Below are 18506 nucleotides of genomic sequence, written 5' to 3'. Positions count from 1 at the left end.
AGCCCAGATAGTCCAGGGTCATCTATTCATTTCAGGATCCTGAGCTCAGCCGCACCTGCAAAGTCCCTTTGCCACATAAGGCCACATATCCACTGTATCCAGGAATGAGGACATGGACATCCATGAGGGGGCCGCTGCCCAGCCGCAGGACACTGCAGAGAGGTGTTAGGGAGGAAGCAGAACACCACGGACGGGACTGCATCTCGGGTCAGGGCCCAGCAGGCCCTGCTCCCCTCCAAGCTCCAACCGCTGCTCAGAGCCGACCCACTGCAAGCAAGCAGTACACGTTTGTTGAAAAATCGAAACCATCTAAGTCAGGAGTGAGGAAATTATGGGATAATCGAAGCAATCGCGGCCCATAGGGATGCATGACTGAGATGGAGTTTGGGGGAAACTGTTACTACGTAAGAGCTCCTACCTACCGACCATGGGTGACACGCAGACACCTTCCCATGCCTGATTCATTCACATCTCCTACTAGCTGTGTGAGGCAGCTCCTACTGGCTCCGTTGAAACAGATGTGAAGTAACTAGCTCAAGCAGCTCTAAGTCCAAGTTAACGTTTGGGTTTCAGGGCCTGTGTGCTTCATCCGTCATTTGTGTTTCTGAAAAGCGAGATGAATAAAAGTTCCAGAATGGCAAACGCGATCTTCGGGCCCCAGGACAGCAGCATTGAGTGATTCTGGTCACACGGGGAGGCAGCCGTGGGCACGCCTGTCCCTGGAGCTCACAACCCGGTGGGCAACCGTGGACCCACAGATCCTGGAACCTGGGTGAAGAGTTCCCATCTAAAGCCTGCACCTCCTCCAGAAAATCAAGAGGGGTCTGTTGTAAACTTTGAATATGTGAAAAACCAAGCCCAAATTTACTGCTTGTGCGAGCCAGATGTACATATGTTGAATTTGCTCAAAATAAGGTAAACTAAAATGTCTCCTGCCACCAGAAATTGTTCTTTCTGTCTCGGCTGAGTATGGATCCAGATCCCTTTAGGCTGTGAATGTACTGTTGGGTTTGGCTTAGAGATGAATGAATGGAAGAGTGTTCACATATGGGCTAATTGGCACTGCTAACTCCTGCTAGCCTGTATGAGAATTCCATTTCATGACCTAAAGAAGAAACTTTTAAAAATTCAAAATAGACCAACAGTGCCGAAATGAGACAGGCACAGTGAGAACAGGGGGGACGTTAGAGACCAGACCAGGACCCCACATGCTGGCAACAAAAGGGAAACCAAGCCGTTGATTTTTGATTGGGTGGAAGATGGTGAAGATGAATCGTCCCTTACTTAACCGACCGACCAGGGTCTTCCAGCCTCTGTGCCATCGGCGTCTGGGGCTGTTCGGGCACTGCAGGATGCTTGGGGTGTCCGTGGTCTCTGCACGTGGAAGCCTGGCGCCCACCCTTTCCCTGACCTCTCCCTGTATTGACCACCAAGGTGTCTCCCAACATTGCCGAATGTCTCCTAGGGGGTGGTGGAAGGTGGAAATTGCCCTGGGTGAGACCCACTGAACTGGAGATGGAACGGGACTCTTGTATGTTAGCACCAAAAAAGCAATTATTTTTTTCATGAGCAGAAGAAAATAAACGCAAGCCCCTCATTGCTAACAAGAGTAGCCCCCACTTTACTTTCTCTCCACTTTGCTTCTTGAGCCTGTGCCTCGCACCCACAATCCAAGGGGTTGGACTCTGGGCAAGCCTGTGGGTGTCGAGGGGAAAGGTGCCTTCTGGGTCACCCTGATTCTTGCACCATGGCATTTGAGCCTGCCTCCAGCACTGTGTCCAAAGACCCTGTCCCAGAGGCCCAGCAGGGCAGGACAGAGACTGGGGGCCAACGGCACACACAGGTGCCTCCTCCGCATCGCAGGCCTGCCCTACCCCAGCGCCCTCCACACACCCCTACCTCCACCACAGAGCTCTAGGCTTTTGTCATCGATGGTCAAGCATCATTCTAGAAGCCTGCAAAATGGCCCCGTCTCTTCTTTATCCTTGGAAAAGGCGGTTCTGCCACCCTTGGCCATGTGCCATCTACACAGGGTGCCCGCTTAGAACCGGAATGTACAGAACCCTCTGGATCTCAGAGGCTGCCGGCTCTTTGGGACTGGAGGGCAGCTTTCCAGCCAGCAAGCCGGGCTTTGTCACCACCGTTTACAATACGCCGGAGGGAAGAGCCCCCGGATGGCACCAGGGCACGGATTCCTGTGGGCAGCTTTTGTTTGGTTTCTGCTTCCAGCCCTTTTGTTTGTTTGCTGCGTGTCCAGGCCGGGCTCCAGGCCGTGCGGTTATGGGCCCTGGCTGAGCCTACAGCTTTCCAGGGCCTGTCTCACTGCCCCTTTACTCTGTAATCCCAACCCTGTCATCCTGACTCGGGTCAATTCTGGTAATGAGGGCGGCCACGTGCCACAGAGCCAGGCTGCTCCACCCAGCAGGAGAGCAGCTCCTACCGCCCCTGGCCAAGTAGCCCGTGGCGAGACTCCCACACACGGAGCCGTGGTGTCCTCGTGTGCAAGATAGGAGTGAATGACACCTCGCATCACTAGGGCCGTGCTCAGAAATGCACTGATCATGGGGAAGGGGCTGCAGCGGCCAGCGCACCCGAGGGGACACGTGCCTTGCGTCGTCCCTGTCACCCTCACTCTGCAGATGGAGGAGGCAGCTCGTAGCTCTGATTTGACAGCTGACAGAAAACCAAAGAGCATGGACTTTCCGTTTCCTGCCCTAGCTCTGCCACTTTCTAACCAGGAGCCCAGAACTTGGTGCATTTTTGTTAGAAACAGCAGAAGCCATCGGACGCAGGCCCGGGAGGTCAGGTAGGCACCGGGGGACCCCTGGGAGCATGATGGTGTTTTCAGCCACCAGAGGCCTCCGCGTCCACAGCAGCACACGTGCGTCCCTCCCCACAGCAGCTGGGGATGCTGAGTTCACCGCCCTGCTCCAACGGTCAGTTCTTCTCAAGGCCCCTTGAAAGAGCAGATGGGAGCAGGGAGCTGACGGAGCCACTGGCTTCCCACCCGAGTGCGCACTGCTCAAACAGGGCCGCAGGGGCCTGGCGGGGAGCACCGTTTCCTGCCCAATACCAATCTGACTGGTACTGGGCTGGTCTTCCCAGGAAATGATGCCAAACTGAAGGAGCCACAAGGCTCTCTGTTACCGGCAGGCTGGACACTCGGTGTGGTCTTAGCAAGGCCAGGCTTGGTGCCAGGGAGCCCACGATGCTGAGCTGGGGGGCCACACACGACCCCACCGCAGTGGCCCGTGTGTTCCTACACCCATTGCACAAACCGACTCTGGCCAACAGCCCCAGACAGACCACTCTGCTCACCCCGGGGTCGGGGGCTTTCTCTCTGGGGGGCATTAACGCAGACACAAAGACACAGGCTTTTGCTCATCCTCCTTCCAACTGAAAGGATGACTGCGTGCCCTGTGTGCAGCCGTTGTGTGCAGAGGCGTGTCCTCCACAGCTTCCCACTGGGCCTTCCTCGCATAGGACGAGACAGCCAGGGCCACAGTTCATGTAGCAAGGACAGGAGCGTCCCCATGCTCCCCCAGGGGCCGGCTGCTGCATGTGGCTGGGTGTGGGTGGGGCAGTGCGATGGACACGGTCAGAGCCACCTGCTTCCTGCATTTTACTTCACTTTCTGAACCTGCTCGGTGCTGTCCCTAAGGTATCGTGTCCACCCCAGCCTGCAACTCACCCATCTCATGACAGCATTCCACGGGCTGCTTAGCTGAGTCGGCATCTGTTCTGGGCTGCAGGTTCATATCCCCCCAAATTAATATGCCAAGGCCCTAATTCCCAGTGTGATGGCCTCTGGGAGGGGATGAGGTCACCAGCGTGGGGCCCTCACGATGGGATCGTGTCTTTGTAAGAGAACTTGCTTCCTCTCCCCGATGGGAGGACATGGTGAGAAGGTGGCTGGCTGCAGGCCAGGAAGGAGCCCTCCCGACGACCCAACCGTGCCGGCACCCGGATCTGACTTAGCCTCCAGCACAGGGAGAAATCAACGTGGTGAGGCTGCCCAGTCTATGGTGGTTTGTTCTGCAGCCCGCGCAGAGACAGTGGCCTCTGCAGGGATCCTGGCGCCCAATTTTGACTGGGCCTAGTACCACCCAAGCTCCATTTTTCAAACGGGAGATAACTGAGAGCCTGGCTCCGCAGCTCTGTGGGCCGTGCTGTTACAGCAACGTCTCAGCATAGTCATATCTGCATCACCATGAGGCCGGGCAAGGCGTCTGTGCTGCAGAAGTGGCTCAGCAGGCTTTTCCCCGCTCTTGGCCCCATTCAAAACCGCCAGCCTTAGAGGCTCCCCAGAAATGAGTTGGAGCAGTCTTCCCATGTGTAGTGCATGCTGGGTCCAAACTCCAGAGGTCCCCCAGTCACTGCTCCCCAGAATGGCATGGAGCGTGGGGTATGGTTTGCCCTTTACCTCATAGGGTGTATCAGGGCATGCTCAGATGCTGAAACCCCAGAAGCTTCAATGATGTGGCAGGCCTCCGATATCTCCCAGCCTGAGGCAGGTACCTGCATTCCTAGGTCACCTGGGTTCTCCCAGGTCCAGGCAGCATGAGATCATCGACACAGTAGTGACCCTGTGGCCTTATAGTAAAGCCAGTGTTGACAGCACAGTGGGCAAGGCAGTAAGTGTACTGCAGTCCTCGCCAAGTCAACACAAACTGTCTTCTCTCCATGGATAGGGTGTGGAGAAGAGTGCAGTTGCTGAATCGGCAGCTGTGCTGATCTGTTCTGGTAAAGACGCTATTTGTCACAGCGGCTGTGACTGGAGAGACTACCTGGTCACGCTGCAGGACCCCACCGCCACCTTCCATCACAGCCTGGTGTCTGCAGTGCCCAGTTCCATGAATTACATGGGAATTGGCGGGCACTGGAATTTCACCATCCTTTGAGCCTCTGACAGTGGCTCTGATCTCTGCGATTCCTCCAGGAAGGCAGGATGGATTTACTAATTTGGTAGGAATGGGGAGGGGTGTTCAGAGCCTTCCAACTGATGGTCCCTAATTCAGTGGCTCTGACTTCACAGGTTAAGGAACCAGTGATGGTTTCTGCCAGCTGCCAGCTCTGTCCATCCCAATTATACACCTGGAGACCCATAGGCCCTTGTGAGACGGACATGGGCCTAACTCTACGCGCCATGTGGCTTTCATAAGACCCCTCTACAGCCCAAGGTGCCGCTCTGCTTGTCTGCTCAGCGGCGACTCAGAGCCTGGACAGTTTCCAAGGTCTGCTCTTTCCCGTTACCACTGCAGTCTTCCCAGCACACGCATGCAGGTCCCTTTGGGGAAGCATCGACCAAAGGGACCTGCAGCCTACGTGTGGGGTCCTTCCTCAGGTGAACCTGACTCCCCCTTCAGTCAGTGAGCTCCGAGCCTGTGAGCTGACTCAGGTGTGGGACTTGGACCATGACCTGCAGGTTTTTGTTCATTGCTGAGCAATGCCTCTTGGTGCCTTCCTGTCTCCGTTCGGGCTGCTGTGATGAAACACCAAGCCTGGCCACGCCCCAGAGGACAGGGGCCCCATCAGGAGGTGAGATCGTGATGCCAGCCAGGCTCCTTGTTGATCAAGTTACCGAGGGTCTACCCAGCAGATGGGGGCCCGGAAGCTGGGGGAGACGCAGCCATTTGGCCCTGGGCTCCCAAGTGTCCTGCTGTCACTGGGTTAATCCCTGTCCAGGAAGAGCCCAGGGCTCTGCAGAGGAGAGGGGGAATAAACCAGCAGTGGCAACCCCAAAGGGAGGCTTTTTCTCTCTTGTCCCATCCTCAGGGCCTAAGACAGAGCTTGGCCTCACCTCTGACACTCATCAGGTGCTCAGTAGAAGCTTGTTGCTTAGAGAACGCACTTGCCTGTCTGCACGGCTTCATTTGTTGGTGATATGCTTGTTTTCCTCATTCACTGTGAAAGCAGAACCCGCGTCCTGGCATAGCGGGAGTTCTTTGTAGCCCACGTTCTCCAACCTCTTCCTCCCTCAAAGCCCTCCCGCGTCTGCCTCTCTCAGGATCTCTGGAAGTCTCTCTTCTCTAGGAGGGCAGAGGGAGTTAAGGAGTCAGTTACACAGACCCCACTCTGTCCATGTCCCGCACCATCAATCGTGTGGAAAGATTTCTGTCCCAGCAAGTTAACTTTACACATCCATTTCATCTCTCCATGTAAGGTGTTGGCCCTGGTCTGGTAAAACACCCACAATAGGAACATTTTACAGGAAACTCATTCTACTCATAACTCAAAATGGAATGGCCAAGTGTAGGCTGGGCATGACTGTGAAGTCAGAACCACTGAATTAGGAACATCAATTGGAAGCCTCTGAACCCCCCTCCCCTTTTCTACCAAATTAGTAAATCCATCCTGCCTTCCTGGAAGAATCGCAGAGATCAGAGCCGCCATCAGAGGCTTGAAGGGTGGCAAAATTCTGCCAACCAACTCCTGGCTCACACTAGGAAACTTAGCACTTTGGGAGGCTCAGACACGAGGACTGCTTGAGGTCAGGAGTTTGACACTAGCCTGGACAACATAGCGAGACCCCATCTCTACAAAATGTTAAAAAGAAAAAAAGAGTTAGGTGTGGTTGTGTGCATCTGTAGTCCCAGCTACTCAGGAGACTGAGGTGGGAGAACTGCTTGAACCTGGGAGGTTGAGACTGCAGTGACTGTGGGAGCCCAGGGGGTTATGGTGAGCCATGATCACGCCCCTGCACTGCAACCTGTGCGACAGAGGGAGACTTTGTCTCTTCAAACAAATAAAGAACAAGTACATGAGTTGCTTGAAAGATTCCCAGTGCCTACTTCCAATTCAGAGCGCGGTGCTCCACGCAGTTGGGTGCGTTGCTGGGATTCAGACACGGAGTCTCCCCAAAGCAGCAAGTGGTGATGCAGCTAGGAACGGGCAGGCCAAGCCCCCCACCCAGCCCCCCGAGGTTGATGTCCCTTTCCACTTGACACAGAAAAGAGGCAACTCATCCTACTGCATTTTAAAATAAAAATACTTTATTGATGAAGTCAGACAGCAGCTAACAGTTTGAGAAGCTTGGGAAGAAATCACTTTCACATGGGGGATATATGCAACCTAGAACATATTTGGCTAAGTCATAAAATTAACATTTTTAGTCATCTGTAAAGTGCTGAGACATTTATTTCTGGTGCCTGCCTGTGTTAGGATTTTTTTCTTGTTATCCGTCCAGTAAGTGAAACACTGAAATACACGTTCAGCAGGATGGCGCTCACTAAGTATGCACCTTGACATGATGGTGTGCACTCATTATGCACGTTCTCACGCGGGGCTGGCTCTGCAACTGCAGAATAGAAACTGATGCGTTCTGCAGAGGAGGCGTCTGCACAACAGACAGGCTGGCCCGAGGTCACGCCTCTTGGCCTGAGTCCCGCTCAGTGACAGCAGCCAGCATGGCCTAGCACCAGGAGTCATTCGGAGCGTGCGTGCTAAAGCAGACACAGCATTCCACGTCAACAGGGGCAAGAAGCTGCACGAAGGAACTAAGCAAGACTTCTCTGCCTATCTCCTCTAATACTAAAGCACACACTTTTCTCCTGTGGATAGTCACTCTATTTATACGAGAAGGGAGGAATAATTTGGTGTTGATGCTTGAGTCCAAATGTTGATAGGCACTGAGCATTTTGGTTCAAAGCAAACATTATTTGTGAAATGCTACAGATAATACATTGACTGAAACATTAACTGTTAATTTTTTAATAGAAAAATGCAATACAAAAATATTACTTTGTTAAAATATACAGTACACACATTATACCACTTTGGAAAACCCAGCTCACTTCTGAAAGCAAATCATGCTAACTGGACTGGTAGGTGTTACCTGGCTTTTAAAATTGTTAACAAATTTTACTCTGAAATTCAAAAATATAGAATATAAATAAAAGTCGTGAATCTGAATCAGGTAAAACTTTTAAGAATTGTTAATAAATGCCTGCACTACTGAATACATATATTTTCTCATAAATTCTTAGTCTGCAAATTCTCTAATATGATACAATAGGTCTGACGCTGATGAAGTTTAACATTTAGTATTCACATATGGACTACAGCAGTCAAAAAGAATGTGGTATTTTCCCAGAACTGCACTCAATTACTCGAAAATTGCATCAGTCTTCTGCCTTCGTGAGAAGTGCTTGTAATTACTTCTGCTGTACAGAAGAGAAGGAAGGAATTGGCAGGGACACCACCATTACGCTATTGCACGTTTCTCCCCCAAATACTGTTTTTAATTTATTCCCAACCAGTGTAGACACAGCTTAACCACTCAGGCTGTAGGATTAGCTGAGAAGTCACCCTTGATTGCAAATTCTGACAGCAGAAGGCGGCCGTCCTGCTTATATATTCAGCAGAGGGATCTGCCAGACCATGACGGTCGGCGCCAGCTCTTCCTGGTGGGGCTGCCGGGCCTTCCTGTGCACCCGGCGGTGGCCCTGCCCTCCACAGACCACCAGCGCCGAGCTGGCCTTGGCTTTCTTGGCCCGGCGTGCTTTGCTTCTCAGCGAGACAGGATCCTTCAGGAGATCATAGATGGTGCTGTCCTCTGATCTGTGCTCTAGAGAGCTGGAGCCGTGAGACAAGCTCAGGGACCCAGATGAGGAGGACAGGTCGCTTTTCTGAGTCATCGATCCCAGCGAATCTCCCAACCAGATGGCTGCGTCAGGGTCACCCTGGCTCAGAGATGAACCAGCTCCTCCACTCGGAAGTGCGTCCTTCTGGTCTTCGTCCTGAGGCTCGGGGCCAGGAGCCAGGCTGTCCCTGGATTTGTCCTTGTCTTTCTCGTGCAGAGCCGTGGCCAGGACGATGAATTTGACAGGACTGTTGTGTGCATGGTAGGAGACCATGCCTCTTCCTGAAAAGGGAAACAGTTCAACAGCTGTCTTTTAAAATAGGCAAAATTTGAGACAAGGAAGCAAAAAGTGCAGGGCTTAACCCCAACGCATTCCTCCCTGCCCAAATAACAAAGCCTGTAAGTAACTTGCATACATGAATAATAAGCTACGATGAAAATATCTGGATTATATTCCTCTGGGTTTTTACTTAATGTGAAAAAGGCTTTAAAAATGATTTTCTAAAATAGAAAGTTGTGTTTTCCTCAGCACTATTTCAGTTCTAATACTCCTACTGTACTTTTCAAAGTAATAAAATAGTCATTTTTCCATTCTGCATAAAATACCTTCTTACTTACCCTATGGAAATATCCCAAATTTTCCTAAGTCTTGATTAGAAATATTAACGCCTGAAATGTGTTGGTTTGGGAAAGAAATGACTAAACTACCGGCTGCCTGCCATTTTTCATTACAAAAACGTTCTGGGGTTCAGAACAATTTAACTCTATAATTTGATTAAAATTAGGACTTTCAGTTTTCAGGTGATGTGATTCAAATTTTAAAGTCACGATCGTATCAGAAACACCTGCAGGTCTTCTTAAAGCCACACACAGCCCCGCAACCCCCACACTGATTCTGTAAGCATCACGTGGACCTGGCGTGTCTTCTGGATGCTTTGTGGGTGACATGACATATGGACAGGGGCACGTGTCCTTTCCCCAAGTGCTTTCAGATGAAACAGGCCCCAGCCCTCACCATCATCCTACTCTGGCCAAGGCAAATGACATCACTGAATCTTCCACCGTGGTGAGAGTCCATTTCCCAAAGAGGAGAGTGGCAAAGTGAAGTCTGCAGGGAGCAGGAGCTGGGGGGACTGTGCAGGGACAGGCCCGCTCATCACCTGGCGAAGCACACACCTGTGATCCCTGCACACCAGCGATGCTGCCCCTGGGCAAGCCCCCAGAAGGAGCTTCTGCCCATGTCAGCAGAGCCAGCCACACAAATATACAGAGGCTTGATGTGTAATGCAAATGGGTAGCACCTAGCTACCATCCAAAGAAACACAGTGAGTGCACGTCCTTTCAGGAAGCACCTAGCTACCCATCCAGAGAAACAGTGAGAGTGCACCTCCTTTCAGGAAGCACCTCGCTACCCATCCAGAGAAACAGTGAGAGTGCACCTCCTTTCAGGATGCACCTAGCTACCCATCCAGAGAAACAGTGAGAGTGCACCTCCTTTCAGGATGCTCCTAGCTACCCATCCAGAGAAACAGTGAGAGTGCACTTCCTTTCAGGATGCTCCTAGCTACCCATCCAGAGAAACAGTGAGAGTGCACCTCCTTTCAGGGAGCACCTAGCTACCCATCCAGAGAAACAGTGAGAGTACACCTCCTTTCAGGGAGCACCTAGCTACCCATCCAGAGAAACACAGTGAGTGCACCTCCTTTTAGGGAGCACCTAGCTACCCATCCAGAGAAACTGTGAGAGTGTGCCTCCTTCCAGGATGCACCTGGCTATCCTCCAGAGGAACAGTGAGAGTGCACCTCCTTTCAGGAAGCACCTGGCTACCCATCCAGAGAAACAGTGAGAGTGCACCTCCTTTCAGGGAGCACCTGGCTATCCTCCAGAGGAACAGTGAGAGTGCACCTCCTTTCAGGGAGCACCTGGCTATCCTCCAGAGGAACAGTGAGAGTGCACCTCCTTTCAGGGAGCACCTAGCTACCCATCCAGAAAAACAGTGAGAGTGCACCTCCTTTCAGGGAGCACCTGGCTATCCTCCAGAGGAACAGTGAGAGTGCACCTCCTTTCAGGGAGCACCTGGCTATCCATCCAGAGGCAATGAGGGCACCTCCTTTCAGAGGCAGGCTGCAGGCAGGGAGAGGAAAGCACTATAGCTGTGGCACCAGCAGGGACTGACCCCAGCAAGGCTGAGAGAAAAAGCAACAGAGGCTGCTTGCACCATGGGACAGCTAGGAAAATGCAAAAGCCGGAAAGGTGAAAAGTACCCTTTAAGATACAAATTGGTACAACTACAGAGGAGGACCAAAGGAATAATTGACGTAAAACTCAGCATCATCATTTCCTAGGGTTGTGAGCAGAGAGGGCTGAGGCTGAGAAGGGGCAGCTGAGGCTCAGTGTGTGAGTCACAGCCCCTTCTGACCTGGGCACAGGCAGGTGGCCTCTTCTCGTTACCATTTAAACTGTGAAACTGTGCGTTATGCACAATTCTATGTATTTACAGGCTGAGTGTCACTTATCTGAAATTCTTGGGACCACAAGTGTTTTGGATTTTTTTTTTTAATGTTGGAATATTTGCATTGCACTTGCCGGTTGAGCATCCCAAATCTGAAATCCAAAATCTGAATTCCTCCAATGAGCACTGCCTTTCAGCATCACGTCGACACAGAATTTGGAGCATCTGAGGCCAAGGCAGGCGAATCACTTGAGTTCAGGAGTTCGAGACCAGCCTGGCCAACATGATGAAACCCCACCTCTACTAAAAATACAAAAATTAGCCAGGCATGGTGGCTGGTGCCTGTAATCCCAGCTACTAGGGAGGCTGAGGCAGGAGAATAGCTTGAACCTGGCAGGCAGAGGGTGCAGTGAGCCGAGACTGTGCCACTGGACTCCGTCCTGGGTGCCAGAGTGAGACTACGTCTCAAAAAGAAAAAAAAAAAATTGGAGCATTTCGCATTTTGTTTTTGGATTTGGGGTCCTCAACATGTACAATCCCATATATCATAATAAAAACATAAATTAGGAAATGAATGGCAAAACTAGAATTCCTTAATCCTTGTGGGTGGACCTGCCAAAATCTGAGTGCACGGAAGCCACCGTCAGGTCGGCCTGGGAGGAAATCACAGAAATGGAGCCCGTAGGAACAGTTCTGCTCTACAAGCTTCCTGCAAAGCGTTTTCTCTGTTAGTATTTCCCCCTGGCTGACATAGTAACCCACATAGAATCTAAGGCTGTGGTTTACTGAACTTAACAGGACGAGGAGTTTTCCGCGTCACTGCAGGCTCTGCACACACCACTTCTGCTGGCTGTGTTCTACCCATTACCGGCAATGCCACCATTTTATTAAATGGCCCAATCCGTCATTACGAACTGCGGGTCACCTCCTGTTTCGTGCTGTTAAAAATTAAATGCTGTGGCAAATGTCTTCTTGCATCATACTTTGTTCCTAGCTTAGGCTGTTTCCTGGGCCAATTCCCTGGATTGGGAATCCTGATTCCAGACACACAAGCATGTTTTAAGGCCTCCAATCCCTAACGGGACTGTGTCCAGAAAGGCCATGTGTTCCAGCCTGAGCTCTTACTGACATTGCAATAGCACAATGGAGCCTTTTCGGATCCCCGGCTTCCTTCTTCACAATATAAAATACAGAAAGGAAAGACGGAGATCCCGGCTTCCTTCTTCACAACATAAAATACAGAAAGGAACGACGGAGATCCCGGCTTCCTTCTTCACAACATAAAATACAGAAAGGAATGACGGAGATCCCGGCTTCCTTCTTCACAATATAAAATACAGAAAGGAACGACGGAGATCCCGGCTTCCTTCTTCACAACATAAAATACAGAAAGGAATGACGGAGATCCCGGCTTCCTTCTTCACAATATAAAACACACAAAGGAACAACGGAGATCCCGGCTTCCTTCTCCACAATATAAAACACAGAAAGGAATGATGGAAACTAATTCTGGCAGTAAACAGAATATAAAAACATAAGATTCTCCTTGGACTACTAAGGTAAAAAATGGAAAAATATATAAATTGATAATTCCAATTAAACAGTCTATTAAGTCATTATAATACACTGAAAAACCACAGATAATATGAATTGTTTAAAGAATCCTAGGATGTTAAATCACACTACACACTGCTATGCTCCACGAGCCTGCAAGACAGGATGCAGCCACTCAGACTGCAGGTGCCACTCACCGGTCACTTTGGGAATCCCTTGCAGACGTGGGACCGGCAGGGCCACGAGGACTCCCAGGCTGGTGCCGACCATCAGCAATCCGTGGCAGACGAGCAGGCTCGTCACCGACAGCCGCTGGTGCCCTGGGCGGAAAGACATGAGTGGCTTCGGGTCTGGTTTGTGTAGCAGAGTTGGTGGGGCGGTGACGGGGTGCTGGAAACCCCACAGGCCTGTCGTGCCACCACCAAATCCGCCAGGGGCAGGATGTGGCACAGGAGTTCCCAAACCCGAGCACCAGGCTCCCTCAACCACATGAGCAAGACAAGGGTCTTGAGGGCATACCCTGCACCTGCACCTGAACAGAACAGGCCAGATGTCTGGTTGGGTCTCCTGGGCTGTCGTCTGCATGGCTCTGCTTGGCCGCTTCAGCCATGAATCAAGCCCCTGGATGAATCTGTCTAAACCTTTTGCTTCTGGGCCGTGTAGCACGTGAGCTCGTGAGCCCCCGACATACACAGCGGCCTGTGGTTCTTTGGGAGCAGAGAGACCCCTTTACAAGTGAGGAGAGGTCTCTTAATGGGCGCGGCTGGACTCGAGTAACCGGCCCTCAGCCGCAGTTGGACCCTAGAGGGGAACTGAACGGCCTCTCCAGGGCTCTGCGTGAAGAACAACATCGTCACACAGCCTCAGCGCTGGACACAGCAGGGAAACATCACGGTGGATGGTGGGGTGAGAAGGGCCTTTGAGGCTCTTTGTTAGTTTGGTTTTGATTTGCTTTACAGCCAAGGATCTGAAGCCCAGAGAAACTAAACAATTTGCTCCGGCAGTGACAAGGCTAGAAAGTGGCTGCAAAACAATGTGGGAGACGCATGGCCTATTCCAAGACCCCGCCTCACGGCGGTTACAGGGAAGACCCCGCCTCACGGTGGCTACAAGGAAGACCCCACCTCACTGCAGTTACAGGGTGGGAGCCACATCACCTGCTCCAAAGACCCCGCCTCACTGTGGTTTCAGGGTGGGTCTGGACTGTCACATCATTCCACCACAACTCTGACACAATCGTCAGCATCGCGGCCTTCACACACAGAAAAGCTAATCCCCAGTGTTTCTCTGTTTAGCCCCAAAGCTGAGGAGCACAGTAGGCCCATTTAGCTTGCTCCTGAGAAGTGACGGTGAACACTTAAAAACAGTTTGATTCTTTTCTGTAGATATAAAAGCTATTTTAAATATCCCTGCATTTGACCCAAAGTTCATCTCTGATAAAGAGCATGAAAAACAACCTCACACCAGAGCCAAAGACTCCGTATCGACAGAGGTCAAACAGCCTCCCCCAAAACAAAAAACCCTCACTACAGAAAAAGAAAGACATTTGGTTCTATTTCTAAACGCCGATTCATATTATTTTTAAAAGCTCAATAATATGCATGTCCCAGGAATTCTGAATGTTGGCCTGGTCGGCGTGACTTGGTCAGGGCGATAGTGAATCCACAGCGCTGTCCTGTACGTAAGCCGGTGCTGTTACTTTCTAAAGCTAATGAGAAACACGGCAGCAGCTTCAAAGCTGATACGCAGGGTACGCGATTCCCAGCTGCTCCGAAGTGCTGACCGCTCTACAACACGGGGAGCAGCCCGGGGCGCAGCCGCAAAGGGAGTGTGGATGATCTTTCTAGAGCAGCAGTTTGACTCAACAGTAAGTATTTTAAGCATGAAACATGATTGTCTTATGAGAGAGAAAACCGGTGTGCATATGAGTTCAGCATCAAACCTGAACCCGGCCTCCCCGGCCCTCCGTGTGGCACTAGGATGGGAAGCAGCCCCGCTGTGGGAGCAGGGATGTGAGATACTGGGAAGGGGAGAAGCCCCACCTGCGTGCCGGGCAAGGCTGCGGCTGCGTGACTGAAACGATGGCCCGGCTTCTGGAAGGGCTCCTGTAATGCTGGCCAAAGCTTGCATTTAATAAAAAGGGTAGGCCGGGCGCAGTGGCTCATGCCTGTAATCCCAGCACTTTGGGAGGCCGAGGTGGGTGGATCCCCTGAGGCCAGGAGTTCCAGACCAGCCTGGCCAACATAGTGAAACCCCATCCCTACTAAAAATACAAAAAAAAAAAAAAAAAAAAACCTAAAAAACAAAACAAAAAAATACAAAAAAACTAGCTGGGCGTGGTGGTAGGCACCTGTTATCCCAACTACTCAGGAGCTGAGGCAGGAGAATTGCTTGAACCCGGGAGGCGGAGGTTGCAGTGAGCCAAGATCGCACCACTGCACTCCAGCCTGGGCAAAAGGAGTGAAACTCCGTTTCAAATAAATAAATAAATAAATAAATAAATAATAAAAAGGGTAAAAGCAGGTAGAAACCCGATATGAATGTTTTTAACTGGTTTCAAAGTACCCAGGAACGACGTAAAAGAGTTAAGTTCCAGAGAGTGGTTTTCCATTGCATTTTCCAAGCAGTCTGCCAATCAACATCTTTAATTTTACATGGGAAAGCTGAGGGCCACAGTCACGAGGTCATGCGGTCATTTTCCGATTCCAGAGGCTGCGGTGAGTGCCGCTATCCAGGCGTCCCGTGCCCGTCCGGAAGCACCAACAGTGACCTAGAACAGGACAGCAGGGCGTGTCCCAGATGGGGCTGGGTCCCGGGAGTTGGAGCCCACGTGAGGTCCGCTGGCGAGGTGGGAGGCAGGGGCAGCTGAGGTGGTGAACGGTGATGCAGCTGCACAGTGAGGTTGGTAAATGGGTTACACGTGTGAAGTGGGACTGACTGCACTTGAGCGGCTGCTGGATGGTGACTCCGTGGGGAGTCACCAGGGCCTTCTGCAGGCAGCCACAGAGGCAGACGCATCTCCCGCCCTGGAGGCTGGGAGAAGCTGGGGGTGTAAACAACACCATCCAGGTTCATTCAAATAACCTCAGAGACAGAACAGTGAGTAGAAGAAGCAATACGTCCCCCAAGTATGGGAGGGAATGCTACCAGGGGGATTCGCCCTCTGCTCTTCCCAGCCTGGAACATAAAACAAAGGACAGGCCAGGGCCACACCGGCCACCGAGAAAGGCTGTGGCTCCCAAGTCCTCAGTCTCGTTCGTTAACTCACCATCTTGAGTCCGGTTTCATTTACTGAATTCCCTTACGGTGTAGTCCATGGTCTTCAGAAAAGTTACACGTTTTTTGTCTTTTTTTTTCTAATGGAAATTTTGGCCATTTTATTTGGTCACATAGTTCCTGGAGGCTCTGTATTCGCTCGGTGGAGACTCAGAAAGGCGCAATTTACCATGTGTCTCAGCACTTTCCCATCAAAAATATCCTCCTTTGAACATGCGGGACAGAGCAGGAAACATCTGCCTGGTGATGTAACCTACTGCAACTGCTCACAACCTAAAAGCTGAGGCGCCGTGAACTCACTCGCTGTAAACTCTACTCCTTTATAACTTAGAAAGGTAACGACCGCTCTAACGAATGTGTATGTTAATCACAGACCTTCATCAACTGTTAGTCTGTGTTGAATCTGATGTAGCTTATGTGAAAGAACGTGAGCTAAATGGTTTTCAGAAGTGAATTCCAAATAGAAGGAGAAAAGCCAGGGCCTTAGCTACAGATTCACGGATTCCCCAGGGGCCAGCGTGCTGAGACCCTGAGGAAGGAAGGAGGTTTCATCACGTTGTGTGAACTTACACAAAAGGCATGAGTTATAATACAGTTTGTTTTTTTCAAATTTTGTTGTTTCGGCTTGGCAAGTCTTCATTTGCAGAAGCTACCTGACTTTTATATTCCAGCAATAGCACAAAAAGATAATTTTATGTCTTGTTGCCACACACACACACACACACACACATGAAAACCCATTTGAGCATCGTCATGAATACAACTCTAGAATGAAGGTTTTGTGTGTGTGCGAACAGAGCACAGAGGACATGTGTGGGCCTCCAGGAACCATCTTGGACGATAAGGAGGAGAAGAACCCAGGAGCAGTGACGGCCCGGCGACCTCAGCATCCGCGCACTTCAGCACGGTATGAGCATGCCCCCACCGGAATGTCTAAATACAGCATGAAATGCAATAATGCTTATTTCTATGAAATATATGAAATATTAGCTGAAAGGCAAAGACGACTAGACAGAGGAGATGAGATGAAAGGACTCTCTGGAGGAAAGGACTCTCTGGCCTGCTCATTCCCTCTGAGTCACAAAATGCAATGAAAATCAGAACCATTTCAGTCTATGCCGCACTGAGGATCTTACAGAGAATCACTGTCAGAAGCATCACAAACAAAACTGAACTTCTGGTGTCACCGAGGTTGCCTCTAACCCGTGTACCTTTCTCCTGCTGACAAGGCCACGGTGGCAGCAGACCACAGCCTGGGAGCAGAGAACTGAATGTGGGTAAAGCAGTCAGTGTACCCCAGAAATCAGTGAAGCTGGAGCTATTTCCAACTTAGTACCGAAATGCCGGAGAAACCTGCCAACGAGAAGCACGGCACTCCATCTGGACAGACTCATGTGTTTGCTTTCATGCGGGTCTAAAATGCAGACCTGACTATGTCGTGTAGGAATAAGTAAAGACCCACGATTCAGGGGCCCCCGGAGCAGGGGGCTGAGAGCACGCACTGTGGCCATGGAGAGCCAGCCCAGGATGTTGGAGGGGCCCGGGAGAGTGGGCGCCAGGGGATGGTGGCTCTGCAGAGCCCCATGCATCTGCTGCCAAGTGAGAGGCTTGTGGTGGGCTTGGGATGGATCCATCATCGGCCGCCTGGAAACTATGAGCTGAAGGGTGAAAAGTCCCAAGGAAGGCTCAGCGCCCAGCCACAGACAACTTCATCATCCAAAACACGCAACACAGGCAGCTGCGATTTAGCCAGAACCTGCGACCTGAGCAGCCGGCAAGGGGTCTGCATTCTGTTTCTGGGTGGGTGCAGGACTGTGTTGGGTGCTCTATGCTTGGAGGGAAGCAGGATAATTCCATCTTTCTCTTCTACAGGAGAGGTCAAAGACAGTATCTAAAACAAAGCATCAAGAACCTGCCATACAGGAGTGGCTTTCGAGCAGCAGCAGTAGGGAGGCGGGCGGGAGAGGCAGCTGACAGCGGGGTGGGGTATGGGGACAGTGCGGGGGGCCGGGGCGGGTGCTGACAGTGGGTGGGATGCTGGGATGAGAGGGTGGGTGCTGAATGCGGGGTGGGGTGTGAGGATGGGGGCAGGGTTGGGTGCTGACAGTGGGTGGGGTGCTGGGATGGGGGCGGGGCTGTGAGTCCCCAGAGCGCAGGCTTTCCTATCCTGCTTTGCTTTTCATAGCCTGGGCGTGAGTGCTGTTGGGTTTTATTAAATCGTGTGCAAGGGTTATTTTATTAAGAAATCAAATTCAAAATACAAACTCCACTCACACTTGCCAGAGCCTTCCCTTGATTAGGAGTTTCTTTCTGATCCCACCCGGAGAGGGATAAACACCAAGGATCCTGCAGGGCCGCTGCATTTCCGTGGCTGCTCTCGGAACTCTGAAACCAGGGTAACCGTGGGCTGCTTCGCCCCGGAGGGAGGTCTGCGCTGCAGGGCAGCTGGGGCAGGATTTGGAGGCTCGGGTGCTGGAGCCCACGGGAGGTCGAGTGGAGAGGTTTTTCTCATAACACCCTCCTCACCTCCCCTTGTGTACAGAACTTTGAACACATGGACACTCACTGCCGCGTGAGAGCGTGCTTTGGCAATTACGGATGTGACTTGGTTTTGTCCCAACAAGGACAGCCTATTCCTGCAGC

At 51.4% G+C, this 18506-nt stretch overlaps 1 protein-coding gene across 22 annotated transcripts in view, besides 1 other annotated feature; it reads right to left on the bottom strand.

The window, feature by feature from the left end:
- The window catches only part of ARHGEF10 (Rho guanine nucleotide exchange factor 10), a 135313-nt gene continuing 123777 nt past the window's right edge, over nucleotides 6971-18506 (bottom strand). For 16 of the 22 annotated variants that reach the window (XM_047422452.1, XM_047422450.1, XM_047422454.1 and 13 more), the window contains 2 exons: nucleotides 12785-12907; nucleotides 6971-8863 (listed from right to left, as the gene is read on the bottom strand). In XM_047422452.1, coding sequence (XP_047278408.1) covers nucleotides 8349-8863; nucleotides 12785-12907 — 638 coding nt within the window. In that variant the 3' untranslated portion in view covers nucleotides 6971-8348. Of the gene's footprint in view, nucleotides 8864-12784; nucleotides 12908-15190; nucleotides 18249-18506 lie in introns of those variants that run through there. The other 6 variants (XM_047422461.1, XM_011534770.3, XM_047422460.1 and 3 more) reach the window with 3 other exon arrangements.
- Nucleotides 15442-15942: an enhancer, noted in NCBI's record as "H3K4me1 hESC enhancer chr8:1897836-1898336 (GRCh37/hg19 assembly coordinates)". NCBI's record gives its function as "activates a minimal SCP1, AML or CMV promoter by ChIP-STARR-seq in naive H9 embryonic stem cells {active_cell/tissue: H9 hESC(naive)}" and the evidence as "EXISTENCE:reporter gene assay evidence [ECO:0000049][PMID:30033119]".

This window comes from Homo sapiens, chromosome 8 (assembly GCF_000001405.40).
Source record: "Homo sapiens chromosome 8, GRCh38.p14 Primary Assembly".
NCBI classification, from domain to species: Eukaryota; Metazoa; Chordata; class Mammalia; order Primates; family Hominidae; genus Homo; species Homo sapiens.
This window is presented reverse-complemented; position numbering and strand designations above follow the sequence as displayed.